This window comes from Homo sapiens, chromosome 2 (assembly GCF_000001405.40).
Source record: "Homo sapiens chromosome 2, GRCh38.p14 Primary Assembly".
Classification (NCBI taxonomy): Eukaryota; Metazoa; Chordata; class Mammalia; order Primates; family Hominidae; genus Homo; species Homo sapiens.
Genome location: NC_000002.12, coordinates 188387603 through 188403191, shown reverse-complemented (window position 1 = coordinate 188403191; position 15589 = coordinate 188387603). Strand labels below are relative to the sequence as shown.

At 36.6% G+C, this 15589-nt stretch overlaps 1 protein-coding gene across 64 annotated transcripts in view, besides 1 other annotated feature; it reads right to left on the bottom strand.

Moving 5' to 3' along the window:
- GULP1 (GULP PTB domain containing engulfment adaptor 1) overlaps nt 1-15589 on the bottom strand; it is a 304053-nt gene that overhangs the window by 192735 nt on the left and 95729 nt on the right. The gene's annotated exons all lie outside the window — the stretch shown is intronic.
- Nucleotides 7235-7734: an enhancer, noted in NCBI's record as "H3K27ac hESC enhancer chr2:189260185-189260684 (GRCh37/hg19 assembly coordinates)". NCBI's record gives its function as "activates a minimal SCP1, AML or CMV promoter by ChIP-STARR-seq in naive H9 embryonic stem cells {active_cell/tissue: H9 hESC(naive)}" and the evidence as "EXISTENCE:reporter gene assay evidence [ECO:0000049][PMID:30033119]".

Sequence of the window (15589 nt, the reverse complement as noted above, 5' to 3'; positions counted from 1 at the left end):
AGAGACTTAGGGTACAAAAGTGTAGGAGAAGATTAAATATGTAATATGTCTAGCATAGAGCTGAATGTCAGATAGTCTCATAATAAGATGACAAGGGAATACTGACTAGGTGTTTGACATTTTTGGATTGATATACTTTCTCTCATGTTAATGTATGCCTTCTACAAGCAGTAGCATGTAATGAATAAAACAAGGACTACAACTGGGTTCTAATCCCATCTTTGCCATTGGACCTTAGGTAAATTTACTTTCCCTTTTTGTACATAAGCTTTCTCATCTGTAAACAAAATTTCCCTATGAAGATTAAATGTGTTAATTTGTGCAGACAGCTTAGGACAGTGCCTGACATATACAATGTAATATGTAAGTGTTGGCCATTATTATTATTATTATTACTGTTAAAAATCCTAGGGCAGATTTCAAAACTCACTCAGGAATTTAGAAAATTCCACTCTAGAAGGGGGAAAGAAAAGGCCTATTAAGCAGATAGATAGTCTAGAGGAAGGCCAAGTTTGTACTCCTAACTAAGCCAAAATTTTGTATAGAGAAAGTCATTTAAACATTCCCAGCATAGTCTAATTAAAGGATATAAGTAATGTAAACTCGCTTTAAAAGACTCCAAATCTCTATTGAAATCTAAGCTTGTTTCTTTTCTATCAAAATTATTATTACCTATATTTTTATAAAAAACTAACCAAAAAATTTAATTCTAGTATATCTATTACTAGAGTCTTTTCAAAATTATTTTTAAAGAAAGAGGGTCTGCTTATTTCATAGCCATCAGCAAGTAAAAGAATGTTCGAGTTTTGTAGCTTACTTAAATGATAAAATTTTTATGCTTCATCCCAGGTCAAGGTTAGTAAATAATTTTATTGAGGAGTCAAAGCAAATAATAATACCTAAGCAATGATCAAAAACGTGAAGAACAAAACAAAACCTCCTACATAAGTATCAAATGATTTTCCTTACTGTAGGTACTAGCCGGCTTTCAGCCTTTTATTAAAGTTATTACAAGGCATTAATTATCCTCTGTTACCATCAAAATAGCCTAAAGATGATGTGAGTGTTTTAAACGCATCATCATATCATCCATTACGTGTTAATGGAATAATTAATATTCTGAAACTTGGAAGGGGAGGGGAAGGGAGAGAAAAGAAGAATGTGCAAATACGTTCTGTTCTCATGGCACAACCCGTGGATATGTAAAGTAGATTTAATATTAAAGCTTTAGCTTTGCATTCCAGAAATCTAAATACCATTAAAGTCTTACAGAAATTAGTAAAATCTGCACAGGAATGTTATGTCTAATCACCTTACATAAGGCAACCTGGCATTATTACTAATGACAACTTACATAAAATGATCTATTTCTGTGTCTTATTAAATTGCTTATTCACAGATATGGTTTGCAAAATCAAGTAAAAATGCTTCAAGCTAAAGTTATTTTCTACTTTATGTCCAAAAGTAGCATTTTTATCCTGATTTCTCAAATAGCTACTTAACCTAAGGACATACAATACTATCCCCATATATATTTTGAGGTGTTATATAAATACTTGGCTCAGATGGTATAATCCTTTTTCTCCCACAACTTTTTTTTCTCATAAATCAAAAGATGCTCAATCTTTGAAATTAATCACTCATGTTTAAAAATACCATGCTATGAATATCCAATTTCAGGTACATTATATGTGCTAACAACTTATAAAAATTGGATTTTTTCTGGCTACAAAAGTACTATATGCTCATTGAACACACTGTACTTTAAAAATAAGTAAAAATAAATACATAAATAAAAGCACCCAGAAATAGCCACTACATTTAAGTGCATTCACTTATAGTGTTTATTATTAAAAGTAGCCAAATATATAGTATCGAGATCTTACTATAGATACAGCTGTGTCCTAGTTTTCTTCTTTTCACTCAGCTTTTTATAATAGTTATTTCATATGCTATTAAAAATTATTTCTATATGTCATTATTTAATTCCGCATAATACTCCTTTATTGGCTATAGTAATCATATATACTTTTTTCAATTCTCTAACAATTTCAGGTACCATTTATATACTAACATACTAAGATTTGTTTATTCAACATCACTAGTCTCATACAGGCCACTAGACAACTGGCTATTGAACATGCTCACTTGGAAGTCTCACAGCAACCAAAACTAAAAGAAATATCCAAAACTGATTCATTATTTACCCTCTCTCTCCCTCTCTTACACACACACACACACACACACACACACACACACACACACACAAACACACCACTCTCTTCCAATTTCAGAGCCTAGAACTTTCATCCACATAGTCTCAGAACCCAGCAGCCTGGGCCATATTACATGTGATTCCTCTAGCATCCTTTGTCTCTAATTCACACAAAGCCCATTCCACTTTTGTAAACATACCAGAATTGAATTTATTGTTCTTCATTCCCAACAGCATGTCCTTCTCCAAGTCATCATCATTTCAAACCTAAATTACTATAGAATATCCTAGCTAGCTTTTTTCTTCCAGCATTGCTTAGTTACTCCTTGTCTCCACATTGTATCCAATATGATCTTTGTAAAACACAAATCTGATTAGGTCATCCACCTGCTTAATTCCCTCCAGTGGCACTCCACTACATTTAGGATAATGTCAAATCCCTTACATGTTTCCTTACCATCTGTTACACTAGCCTCGTCACCATCATCTCTCCTCTCCACCTCTTACCCAGACCCTGCTAGGAACACCAACAGAACAATGTACCCCACTATGGTAGTTCAATAGTGCCCCACAAAAGTTCATGTTCACCCAGAACCTCTGAGTGTGACCTTGTTTGGAAATATGGTCTTTGTAGATGCAATCAGTTCAGAATCTTAAGATAAAATTATTCTGGATTTAGGATGGGCCCTAAATACAATGACTGATATGTTTATAAGAAGAGGAAAGAATATAGAGAAACACAGGGAAGAAGGTCATGTCAAGATGGAAGCAGAGATTGGAGTTATGTTGCCTAAAATCAAGCAATACAAGGAGCCACTAGAAGCTGGAAAAAAAAGAAGGATCCTCCCCTAGAGCCTTTGGAGGGACAGTGACCCCTGGTACCTAGGTTTTGAGCTTCTATCCTCCATAACTGTTATACAATGAATTTTTGTTGTTTTAAGCCACTCTGTTTATAGTTCTATGCCTCCTATCTTAGACTTATTGCAATATATTAGTGGTTTTATTTCTATTTCACTAGACTATAAACTCCATAAAAGCAAGGAATAACTCCATTGTTTATAATGTTATGCTCATTGTCAAGGATAGCAATTGACATATGATAGGCAATTAGTAAATACAAGTATGTACACAAGAAAGAACAAATGAATTTTTCAAGATAGTAGATACCTATTGAGAACTAAGCAACATTATTATTTCACCTATACTCACTTTACTGGCAAAATCTTTATTATATGACATTTTATTGTTATTACAGTTTGATGTTTTTTTTTTTTTTTTTTTTTTTTCTTGTAGGGACAGGGGTCTATGTTGCCCAGGCTGGTCTCAAAGTTCTGGCCTCAAGCAATCCTCCCATCTCAGACTCCAAAAGTGCTGGGATTACAGATATAAGCCACTGCACCTGGACAGTTTGATGGCTTTAAATAACACTTATGAAAAAGAGTTTTAGGAGGTATCTATTGTTTTTATTTGCCCCCATATTCGCCCTCCGTCTTGGTTCCAGAACTTTAAAGTTGCCTTTGGGACCTACTCTCTCCTAGTACAGGCAGTCTTTTGAGAACTGTTAATCAGTTGCCGTGGTTCCTGGCAGGGGGCAAATGACTCAAACTCAGCCATTCTGACTCCCTTTGTGAGTGTGAGAGGAAGAACATTAAAAAATACTATTGGTCCATATTTAGCTCCACAGAAGTACCCACTGCTGTTTCTCTCCACTTCCTGATCTCTAGATGCCTAGAACAGTCTGGCTCCTGTCTTTTCTGAGAACTGTTTCATCTGATTACCCTCAAATTTTATGTGCTAAGTTATATCCTTTCAGCAAAATGCATTTTTTGTTTAAACAGACAGAACTAGTTTCTGTTACTTGTGATCTAAGAATAAGAGACTCTTCAAATGTAGATGTGATTAGTACATAGCACAGATTGCTTGTATAAATAGGTGTTGTTTCACAGATGGTTGCCTGATCAAAAAGTTTCTAGTTTAGATTGTCAGGCTACCTAACTGATAAACTATGCAATTTAAAATTCATGATTTGCCAATTTCCTTCTCTAAGATAGCCACTTCCATTTTTTCATGCATTGTAGATATTAATGCAAATCCTACTCTTCTCCCTCCTTTAGCTCAATCTTTACACACAAAAATTATTCTCATGAAAATATTTTTTATTTTTCACCAAACTAAATTTTCTCAATATAAATCATGCTGTAAAAGCAAATTAAGCCATTTTATAAAGAATGTGACCTCTAAGAAAGTCAAAGCTTCAGTGTAATAAGTGATACATCATAGTATGAATAACTAGTTTAGACTAAAAAAGGCCTACAGTTTATCACTTTGCAACACAGAGAACAACATATTGATGAAAAACCACTTTTCTAGGTTTCATCATTTTATTCAAATAGTAATTAATTTATAAAGGGATTATTAATTATAATTACATACTACATAAATATACATAACTCTTTCTCTTTAAACCTCTTCATTAAATAAAAAACAATGTTAACATTTATAGGTGAAGATTAATTTGAATATCATTATTAACACAGATGTATTACATATATAGATGTACTAAACAGACACTCTAAAAAGTCAGTGAAAGTAAAATCACTTTCTTCAATTTCTTCAATAACTTTATTTTGTGTTTTTGGTGTCTGCCATGACAAATTACCACTGTTACCAGTGGATGGCTTAAAAGAACAGAAATTTATTCTCTCATAGTTCGGGAAGCCAGAACTCTGAAATCAAGGTGTTGGAAACGTAGCACTTTCTCCCCGGGCTGTAGTAGAAATTTTGTTCCTTGCTTCTTTTGGCTTCTGGTGACTCCTCCTTGGCTTGTGTCTGTATCACATCAGTCCCTGACTCTGTCTCTACATGGTCTTCTCCTCTGTGTGTATCTTTTAAATACACATGTCTTTGGACTTACAGTTCATCCAGTTAATCCTGGATGATGGCATCTAAAGATCCTAAATTATACCTGCATAGACTCTTTTTCCAAGTAATGCCACATTCACAAGTATTGGAGGTTAAGATTTGAACATATCTTTTTGGAAGCCAACATTCAACTCACTACAGATGGGATGACATTTCCTAGATTTGGTTATAAAAGAACGTAGCTTCCATCATGGGTGATCACTTTTTCTTCTTTGGATTGATTGTTCATGAGGAAGACAGCTTCCATATCATAAGGCAGCTCTGTGGAGGCTGAATCTGGAAGTGGCCTCTTCAGCCCCAGTTGGGCTGTGAATGACTGCAGTTGTAGCCGACAGCTTGACTGCAACATCATGAGAGATCTAGAGCCAGAGGTACCAGCTAAGCTGTGCCCACATTCCTGGTCCACAGGAACTGTGAGATAATTCATAAACACTGTATTAAGCTGGTAAGACTAAGTTAGTCAGTGACAATGAAGATAATTAAACAATGGGCATAGATTCAATTTTTCATATCAGCAACATTTATGAAGTATCTTCTATGAAAAAAATTGCAGTGAGTTTTATTTAGATTTAAATTTATATCTGTAATTATAAATAATGACCCAGTCCTCAAGAATCTTATCGTCTCAGGGTATAGTAGACAAGCCCACACTATGTGTTATATGATAAAGAAATGTACATGGTGTTAAGGTACACAGCACATAGAAGGATCTGGTCCAGATTCCAAAAGTTAGGAATGATATTTTAGAGAAGGTAGATTCTGAACTTGTAAAAAACGTACCTACTCATAGTTATGTATTAAGAAATTCATTTTTCTACAAGATGGCAGACTGGAGGCACTGTTATCATGCCTCACTCACTTGGAAAGACAAAAGAGTACGTAGATAATCACACCGTGAATTTTCTTACAAGAAGCAAGGTAGAAACTTAACAAGAAAACTGAAAGAAATCACAGATGCTTTGAAAGAGGTGGTAGGCTACAGCCTGCATCTTCTAAGCCAGGCAGAAAACCAAGTCCTACGAATGTGGGAGTGGGATAAACTGCCTTCAGGGTATACACTCCTACTGCAGAACCTGGCAATCCAGGCTACAGGGGAAGGCCTTACCCTAACCAGTGCTGAGACTAATTTAGGGAGCCGTGGGCAATATAAAAGTGGGAGCAGCAGCAGGAAGAGACGTGTGCATTCCCAGTCTCCAGCACGGATGGAGGGAAACCATTCCTCATCCTACTTCACAGGAAATTTCGTGGAAGCCTGCCAGCTAACTCAGGTGACTGTGGCAGGTTGAGAGAAGTTCCCAACTGAAATTTACAATATAATCTCGAGCGGGGACAAATTCCTTTGGCCAGAAATGGGAGGCAAGTGGGAAGTGTGCTGCAGCCATGAATACAGGAGCTGGACGTCCCAGCTTTGCCGGCAGACTGGGACGGCTGTGGCCTGAAAGCCATGGTTGCTGTCTCCACCAGGCAGGCTTATGGCCTCGGGCAGTTTTAAGTTCTGAATGCAAACTACCTGGAACTTAGCTTGCTGCTGCTAGTGGAACACTGCAGATGTGAGACCTGCTTTAGCCAGTGTGGGGAGCTGAGTGGAACATACTGCCACCTGTTACTCCCCGCTCCGCATATGGACTCTTCTGTACAGCTGAGGCAGCTGTGCTCCTCTCTGAAACATTACTCCAGTAGCCAAAGAACCGCCCCTGGGCCCTCACAGGAGCCCTTGTTTGTCCCACATGTGGGGAACCACAGCTCGGATCTTTCCCACCCAGCCCCCACCTGGCTTTGCCCCTCCGGCTGTTCTGGTAGCTTAACATGAAAGACAGAAATTTTGGCAGTTCTATGACCCCACCAATTGCCTAAGAAACCAGAGTACTTCCCCTGGGTAGCATAAAAAGAGCACAAATCCCACCACTTCTACAGCATCCAGCACTCTTCTGCAAGCGCCACCTCCTGGCTGGAGGCCAACTGACACAGTCCATTATAGCATCTGCAGGCAGAATAACACAGCACCAAGGATGGAAAAACTTGTGTCTGACCTCAGCTGTCACTGTTGCCTGCAACACCCTGGCTAATCATGAGGTCCTGAGTCTGTCCATGTGACCAGTTCATTACTACTACAACTGGCATTTGAGAAAGCCAACACACTAAGGCTATTTATAATCAATAAATCTCACAGAGGCTATGTTACCCCCCTGCTACCCCCACCAGAGCTGGCACTAGTACCTGCTTCTGGAAGACCTCAGAATAGGTCACAACACTGGATCCCTTGAAAATATCCCCACCACCAACCTAGAGTGTGGCAGCCCCATTGGGTGGCTAGACTCAGAGGAGCAGCAGCATTCACTATAGTCTTGTCTTTAGAGATACTACTTCTAGCAGAATGAGAAGTGCACTATATCAAGGGAACACCTCATGGGACAAAAAAATCTGGATGGCAGAACTTGAATCCCAGAACTTTCTGCTGATGGGAAGCTCCTTTCAGCAAAGGCACAAATGCACTGCCAGGCTCAGTGGGGAAAATCTGAAGCTCCATGCCAACAGTCAGGCAGCCCTGGTGCTCATGAAGGGTCTTGGAGAAGAGGACTTGTTTTGCCCCTTGTCCAGCACTGCAGACCCAGCTGGGGCTTCTTCCATGGGAGGTCAGTATGAGTACACCAAAGGACAGCCTTTCTGGAACAATTCAAGGGGATTATATCCCCACAGGTGGAGTGCACGCCAGGTTCGTGCTTGCACAAGTGTTAGAATTCCACTCTACTTGGAATATGCACATTTGTGCAGATGAAAACTTGTGCTGGTCTGATCTGAATAGCCAAAATACTGAGTCAGTAGTGTAACTAGGAGGTGGACTGCTTTCCTGCTGGCCTGACAGGGGAGTTCAGGTGCCTCCGACTGTTCCCCCTGATAAGACCTCAGTGTGTTGCACTGAGAGTTTCTCCACCTGCCTCTGTCAAGGCTGGGACCTCTGTCCACTACTGGATATTGCATTTATCCACCTGCTTTAGCCACACCCAGTTTCTACCCAGGGAAACCTTCTCTACCGGCCTGAAGCTGGAACTATTCAACACAGTAAATAAAATACTGTGGAAAAAATAAATACATAAAAATGTTCACAGCACAGGGGAATGAGATAAGCTTCAAGAGGCCTTTGCCATTCCAACCCCAGAGGAGAGAGTGAACTTCTTCACACATCAAGCACACTGCAACAACCAGCATTTGAGAAAGCCATCATACAAACACCCTCTATAACCAAGGAACTCATACAGAGACTTCACCCCTGGAAGCACCAAGAGCTGCATTAGGTTACCATAAAGTATAAACATTAAAGTCACATCCTTAATGGAGACAAAAGGAATTTTTTTTAAAAAGTCAAATCAAAAACAAATTAAAGAATAACAGAAGAAATAATCTGCCCAAATGAGAACAAACCAGAAAAATAATTCTGGCAATATGACAAAACAGGGTTCTATAATACCCCCAACTATAAAAATCACAGTAGCTCTCCAGAAATGGGTCCAAACCAAGATGAAATTTTTGAAATACCAAATAAAAAATTCAAAATGTTGATAATTAAGCTACTCAAGGAGATACAAGAGAAAGGTGAAAACTAACTTAATTTTTTTTTAAATTCAGGATATGAATGAAAATTTTTCTAAAGAGAAAGATATTTTAAAGAAAACCCAACCTGAAAGTCTGGAAATGAAAGACACATTTAGGGAAGTACAAAATGCAGAGGAAAGTTTTAATAATAGACTAAACCAACTAGAAGACAGAATTTCAGAGCTCAAAGACAAAGCTTTTGAATTAACCCAATCAGACAAAAATAAAGAAAAAATAAACAGAAGAAATGAATAATGTCTGTAAGAAATATGGGATTACATAAAATGATCAAACCTAAGAATAACTGGTGTTCCTAAGGGAGAAGAGAAAGCAAAAAGCTTGGAAAACTTATTTTGAGTGAATAATTGAAAAAAACTTTCCTGGCCTTGCCAGAGATTTAGATATCTAAATATAAGAAGATCAAAGAACTCCTGGGAGATTTATTGCAAAAAGGACATGACCAAGGCATACACATATCAGGCTATCTAAAGCCAATGTTTAAAAAAAGAATTCTAAGAGCAGTGAGACAAAAGCATCAGGTAACTTATAAAGGAAAGCCTGTCAAACTGACAGCAGACTTCTCAGCAAAAACCTTACCAGGCAGGAGGGACTGGTTCCTATCTATACCTCCTTAAACAGAATAACTGTCAGCCAATAATTTTGTATCCAGTAAAACTAAATTTCATAAATTATGAACCAGAGCTGCCCTACAAGAAATGCTAAAAGGGTTTCTAAATCTTAAAAGAGAAGGTGAATATGCATCAAAACAGAATCTCTTGAAAGCATAAAACTCAAGGTGCTTAAAAAACAATAACAAAGAAGAAAACAAAGTATCTAGGTAATGATCAACATAATAACTGGAACGGTACTTCACATCTCAATATTAACATTGAACATAAATGGCCTTAATGTTCCACTTAAAAGACACAAGCTGGTAGAATGAATAAAAAATCACAAACCAAATATCTGCTGTTTTCAAGAGACTCACCTAACACATAAAGACTCATATAAACTCAGGATAAAAGGATGGATAAAGACATTTTATGCAAATGGGAACCAAAATCAAGCAGGAGTAGTTATTCTTACATCAGATAAACATACTTTAAAGCAGAAAGAATAAAAAAAGAAGGTCATTACATAATAATAAAAAAATCAGTCTAGCAAAAAGATATTACAATCTTAAATTTATATGCATCTAACTCTAGAGATCCCAGATTTTAAAAATACTTACTACTAAACCTAAGAAATGAGATGGGTAGCAACATAGTAATCGCGGGGGGACTTCAACGTGGCACTGACAGCACTAGATAAATCATCAAGACAGAAAGACAAAAAAAAAATGGACTTAAGCTATACTCTAGAACAAACTGACCTAACAGATATTTACAGAACATTCTATCCAAAAAACACAGAATATAGTCTTCTCATCAGCTCATGAAACATTCTCCAAGATAAACCATATGGTAGGCCACAGAACAATTCTTAATAAATTTAAAATAATCACAATCATATCAACTTCTCAGATCACAGGAGAATAAAGCTAGAAATCACCTTTAAAAGGAACTCTCAAAATTATACAAATACATGGAAATTAAACAATCTGCTCCTGAATGATTTTTGAGTTAATAACAAGATCAAGATGGAAATTTCAAAAATCTTTGAAATGAAGCATAATAGCGACATAAGTTACAAAATCTCTGAAGCAAAAGCAATGCTAAAAGCAAAATTTATATTGCTAAATGCCTACATCAAAAATCTGAAAGATCACAAATTGACAACCTAATGTCACATCTCAAGGAAATAGAGAAACAAGAACAAACCAAACTCAAAACTAGCAGAAGATAAGGAATAATGAGGATCAGAGCAGAACTAAATGAAATTTAAGAAAACAATACAAATGATAAATGAAACAAAAAGCTGGTTCTCTGAAAAGATAAACAAACTAGATAGACCATTAGCTAGATTAACAAAGAAGAGAAACATTTCAAATAAGCTAAATTAAAAATGAAAATGGGACATTATAACCAACAACACTGAAATACAAAAGATCATTTGAGACTACTATGAACACCTCTATGCACACAAACTAGGAAGTCTAGAGAAAATGGACAAATTCCTGAAAACATACAACTCTTCTAGATTAAATCAAGAAGAAATAAAAACCCTGAACAAACCAATAAAAAGCAGTGAAATTGAATTCATAACAAACAAAAACTGCCAACAATAAAAGCCCAGGGCCAGGTGCATTCACAGCTGAGTTCTATCAGACATTCAAAAAACAATTGATACCAATCTTAGTGAAAAGATTGAGAAAGAGGTAATCCTCCCTAATTCATTATATGAAGCCAGTATCACCCTGATACCAAAGTGAGGAAAGGACATAATAAAACAAGAAAACAATAGACCAGTATCCCTGATGAACATAGATGCAAAAATCCTCAATAGAATATTAGCTAACCAAATGCAACAGCACATCAAAAAAATAATACAGCATGATCTAGTGGGTTTTCTCCCAGTGAAGCAGGAATGGTTTAACATACACAAGTCAATAATGCAACACACATCACCTAAAGAGAATTAAAAACAAAAACCATATGAACATCTCAATAGATACAGAAAAAGCATTCAGTAAAGTCCAGTTTTCCTTTATGGTAAAAACCCTCAAAAAACTAGGCATAGAAGGTACATACCTCAAAATAATAAAAGCCATATAACACAAACTCACAGCCAAATCATACTGAATGGGGAAGAGTTTAAAGCATTTCCCCTGAGAACCTCAATGAGAAAAGGATGCCCATTTTCAGCACTTCTATTCAATATAGTACTGGAAGTCCTAACCAGAGCAATAAGGCAAGATAAACAAATAATGGGCATCCAAATTGGAAAACAGGAAGTCAAACCATCACTATTCACTGATGATGTAATTGTATACATAGAAAACCATGAAGACTTCTCCAAAAGACTCCTAGATTTGATAAACAAATTCAGTAAAGTCTCAGGTTACAAAATCAGTTTACACAAATCAGTAGCACTGCTATATGCCAACAACAACCACATTGAGAATCAAATCAAGAACTCAGTCTCTTTTACAATAGCTGCAAAAATTAAAATAAAATACCTAGGAATATACTTAACCAAGGATGTGAAAGATCTCTACAAAGAGAACTAAAAAACACTGCTGAAAGAAATCATACATGACCCCAACAAATGGAAACACATTCCATGCTCATGGATTGGAAGAATAAATAATGTGAAAATGACCATACTGTCCAAGGCAATTTACAGATTCAATGCAATTCCATCAAAATAGCAACATCATTTTCACAGAATTAGAAAAAAAATCCTGAAATTCATATGAAATGAAAAAAAGTGCTCAAACAGCCAAAGCAATCCTAAGCAAAAGAACAAATCTAGAGGCATTACATTTTCAATTATATTATATGTTTACAGTTACCAAAACAGCATGGTACTGGCATAAAAGTAAACACATAGACCAATGGACCATAATAGAGAAGACAGAAATAGAGTCAAATACTTATAACCAACTGATCTTTGACAAAGCATATATAAACATAACTTGGGGAAAGGACACCCTACTTAATAAATGGTTCTGGGAAAACTGGATAGCTACATGTAGAAGAGTGAAACTGGATCCCTATCTCTCATCTTATTTTAAAAAAACAACTCAAGATGGGTCAAATCCTTAAATCTAAGACCTGAAACCATAAAAAACCTAGAAGATAACCCAGGAAAAACTCTTCTGAACTTCAGCCTAGGCAAAGAATTTATGACTAAGACCACAAAAGCAAATGCAACAAAAACAAATATAAATAAATGGGACCTAATTAAACTAAGAATCTTCCATACAGCAAAAGAAATAATCAACAGAATAAACAGACAACACATAGAATGGGAGAAAATATTTGCAAACTATGCATCCGACAATGGACAAATATCCAAAATCCACAAGGTACTTAAATAAATCAGCAAGAAAAAAACAAATAATCCCATCTAAAAGTGGACAAATGACATAAATAGATATTTCTCAAAAGCAGATAAACAAATACCCAACAAACATTTGAAAAAATGCTCAACATCACTAATCATCAGGACGATGCCAATTAAAACCACAATGAGATGCCCTGCAAGAATAGCTATTATTAAAAAGTCAAAAGACAATAATAGATTTGGCGTGGAAGTGGCAAAAACAGAGCACATACACTGCTGATGGGAATGTAAATCAGTACAATATCTATGGAATACAGCATGAACATTTCTTAAGGAACTAAAAGTAGATCTAACATTTGATCCAGCCATTCCACTACTGGGTATCTACCCAAAGTAGAAGAAGTCATAACAAAAAGACACCTGCATGCGTATGTTTTTTGCAGCACAATTCACAAAGGCAAAGATATGGAAGCAACTTAAGTGCCCATGGACCAATGAGTAAAGAAAACGTGCTATATGTACACCATGAAATGCTACTCAGCCATTTAAAAAAAAAAAAGGATGAAATAATGTCTTTTGCAGCAACTTGGATGGAGCTCAAGGCCATTATTCCAAGTGAAATAACTCAGGAATAAAAGAAACAAATCCCACATGTTCTCGCTTGGCTAAGCTATGGGTATGCAAAGGCATACAGAGTGGTATAAGAGACTTTGGAGACTCTGGATAGCTACATCCAGAATGGGGAGGGTGGGAACTGGGTGAGGAATAAAAAACTACATATTGGGTACAATGCACACTACTCAGGTGACAAGTGTGCAAAAATCTCAGACTTCACCACTGTACAATTTATCCATGTAACTAAAAACCGCTGATACCCCAAGACCTACTGAAATTTTTTTAAAGAATTAATTCCCTTTATTTTTTAACAATTTAATATATAAGGTACCTCTAGGAGGTAAGGACACTTTTCCTATCCATTACACTAAGACTCATAATACATTTATCTCAGCTTTTAGAGAAAGAACATATATCCATTTTTGTGACTGCTGGAAAGTGTAAGGCTAAATTATATACATTGTGGTAATGAATGAAATCAGGTCTTTTATTTATATTTTTGTTTTGTTTGGTGTAAATTACTCTATTATACTTTTATTTTTAAAGGATGGAAATAATTTTTAGTAATAAATAAATGAATCCTTAATTAATCCTCAATAATATTCCTCAATTCTCAATAAGGAATTGCAATGAAATTTTAAAATGTTATGAGTGCTCTAGCAAAGGTTTGAACACAGGAAAGTGAAGCAGGAGAGAAAATTCTTCAGTGTTCAAAGCCAAACAAATTTTACCAACAATAACAAAACCCGCTTTTACTCTGTTTTCCCCATTTCTGTGCCTGTCATCAACATGCCCCTCTTGCCTAAACAAAAGGCCTGTTTCTTTAATCCCCGCTTAACTGCTTCTACTACTACCAAGTCTCATCTACCACACTTTCTTTTTTATTTACATTTTTTTCGCCCTAGACAAAGCTTCTATTGTTTCTTCCTGAATTATTTAAAAATTTAGAAACATTGCCTCTTGGGCAACCTTGATCAGACTTAATGTTTTTGGGGAAACCTAGGCTACTGGTAACTCAGTATCTGCATGCCAACATAATTATTACTCACTAGTCTTTACTTAAACATGATTCTCTTGTGCTTTCATGGTGTATTCTATTCATTTGTTTGTCATACAGGTACATCTGCTACATTATAAACTCCTCAAGGGTAGAGATTATGTCTTCATCGTTTTATTTTCCTACAGTTCCTAGCTTAGTGCCTGGCGAGCGGCAAGGGTTCAGCAAATAGTGATCAAAATGTAAGGAAAAGCCTGCAAACTAATCTGCCTTCCTTTGAGCTGCTCTCTCTTCATTAGTCTAACACACATATCACTTTTAAATTAAACTTCTTTTTGTTTTTTGTTTTTTTTGATTTTTTGAGACAGAGTTTTGGTCTGTCACCCAGGCTGGAGGGCAGTGGTGTGATCACGTCTCACTGTGACCTTCACCTCCTGGACTCAAGTGATCCTCCCACTTCAGCCTCTCAAGGAGCTGGGACTACAAGTATACACCATCCTGTCTGGCTAAGTTTTTCTACTTTTTTTTTTTTTTTTTGGTAGAGATGGGCTCTCACTATGTTTTCCAGGATGGTCTTGAACTCCTGTCCTCAAGCGATCCACCTGCCTCAGTCTCCCAAAGTGCTGGAATTACAGGCATGAGCCAATGCAGTTGGCCTAGATTAAACTTCTTAAAGGGATAGACTGGATTAAGAAAATGTGGCTTTGTAGGGACATGGATGAAATTGGAAATCATCATTCTCAGTAAACTATCGCAAGGACAAAAAAACCAAACACCGCATGTTCTCACTCATAGATGGGAATTGAACAATGAGAACACAGGGACACAGGAAGGGGAACATCACACTCTGGGGACTGTTGTGGGGTGGGGGGAGGCGGGAGGGATAGCATTAGGAGATATACCTAATGCTAAATGACGAGTTAACGGGTGCAGCACACCAGCATGGCACATGTATACATATGTAACTAACCTGCACATTGTGCACATGTACCCTAAAACTTAAAGTATAATAATAACAAAAAAATTTAAAAAAAAAACTTCTTAAAGGATAGCATGGTTCATCTGGCTCCCCTGCAATTGTTCCTCTCCATATAATAATGAGACACAAATGCCTAGTTATAAGAATCCAAATCACAGAACACACTTCCAACTACTCTGCTATATCTAATCTCTCTTTCCAATTTCCTGAACATCCCATCCCTATGGTTTGCCAGCCCAGTACCTTTGCTCCAAGTTGACTCTCCATTTAAATGTTTGCCTGTCAGTGTTCCTCTCTACCTTAAAAAGCACAACTCAAGTGG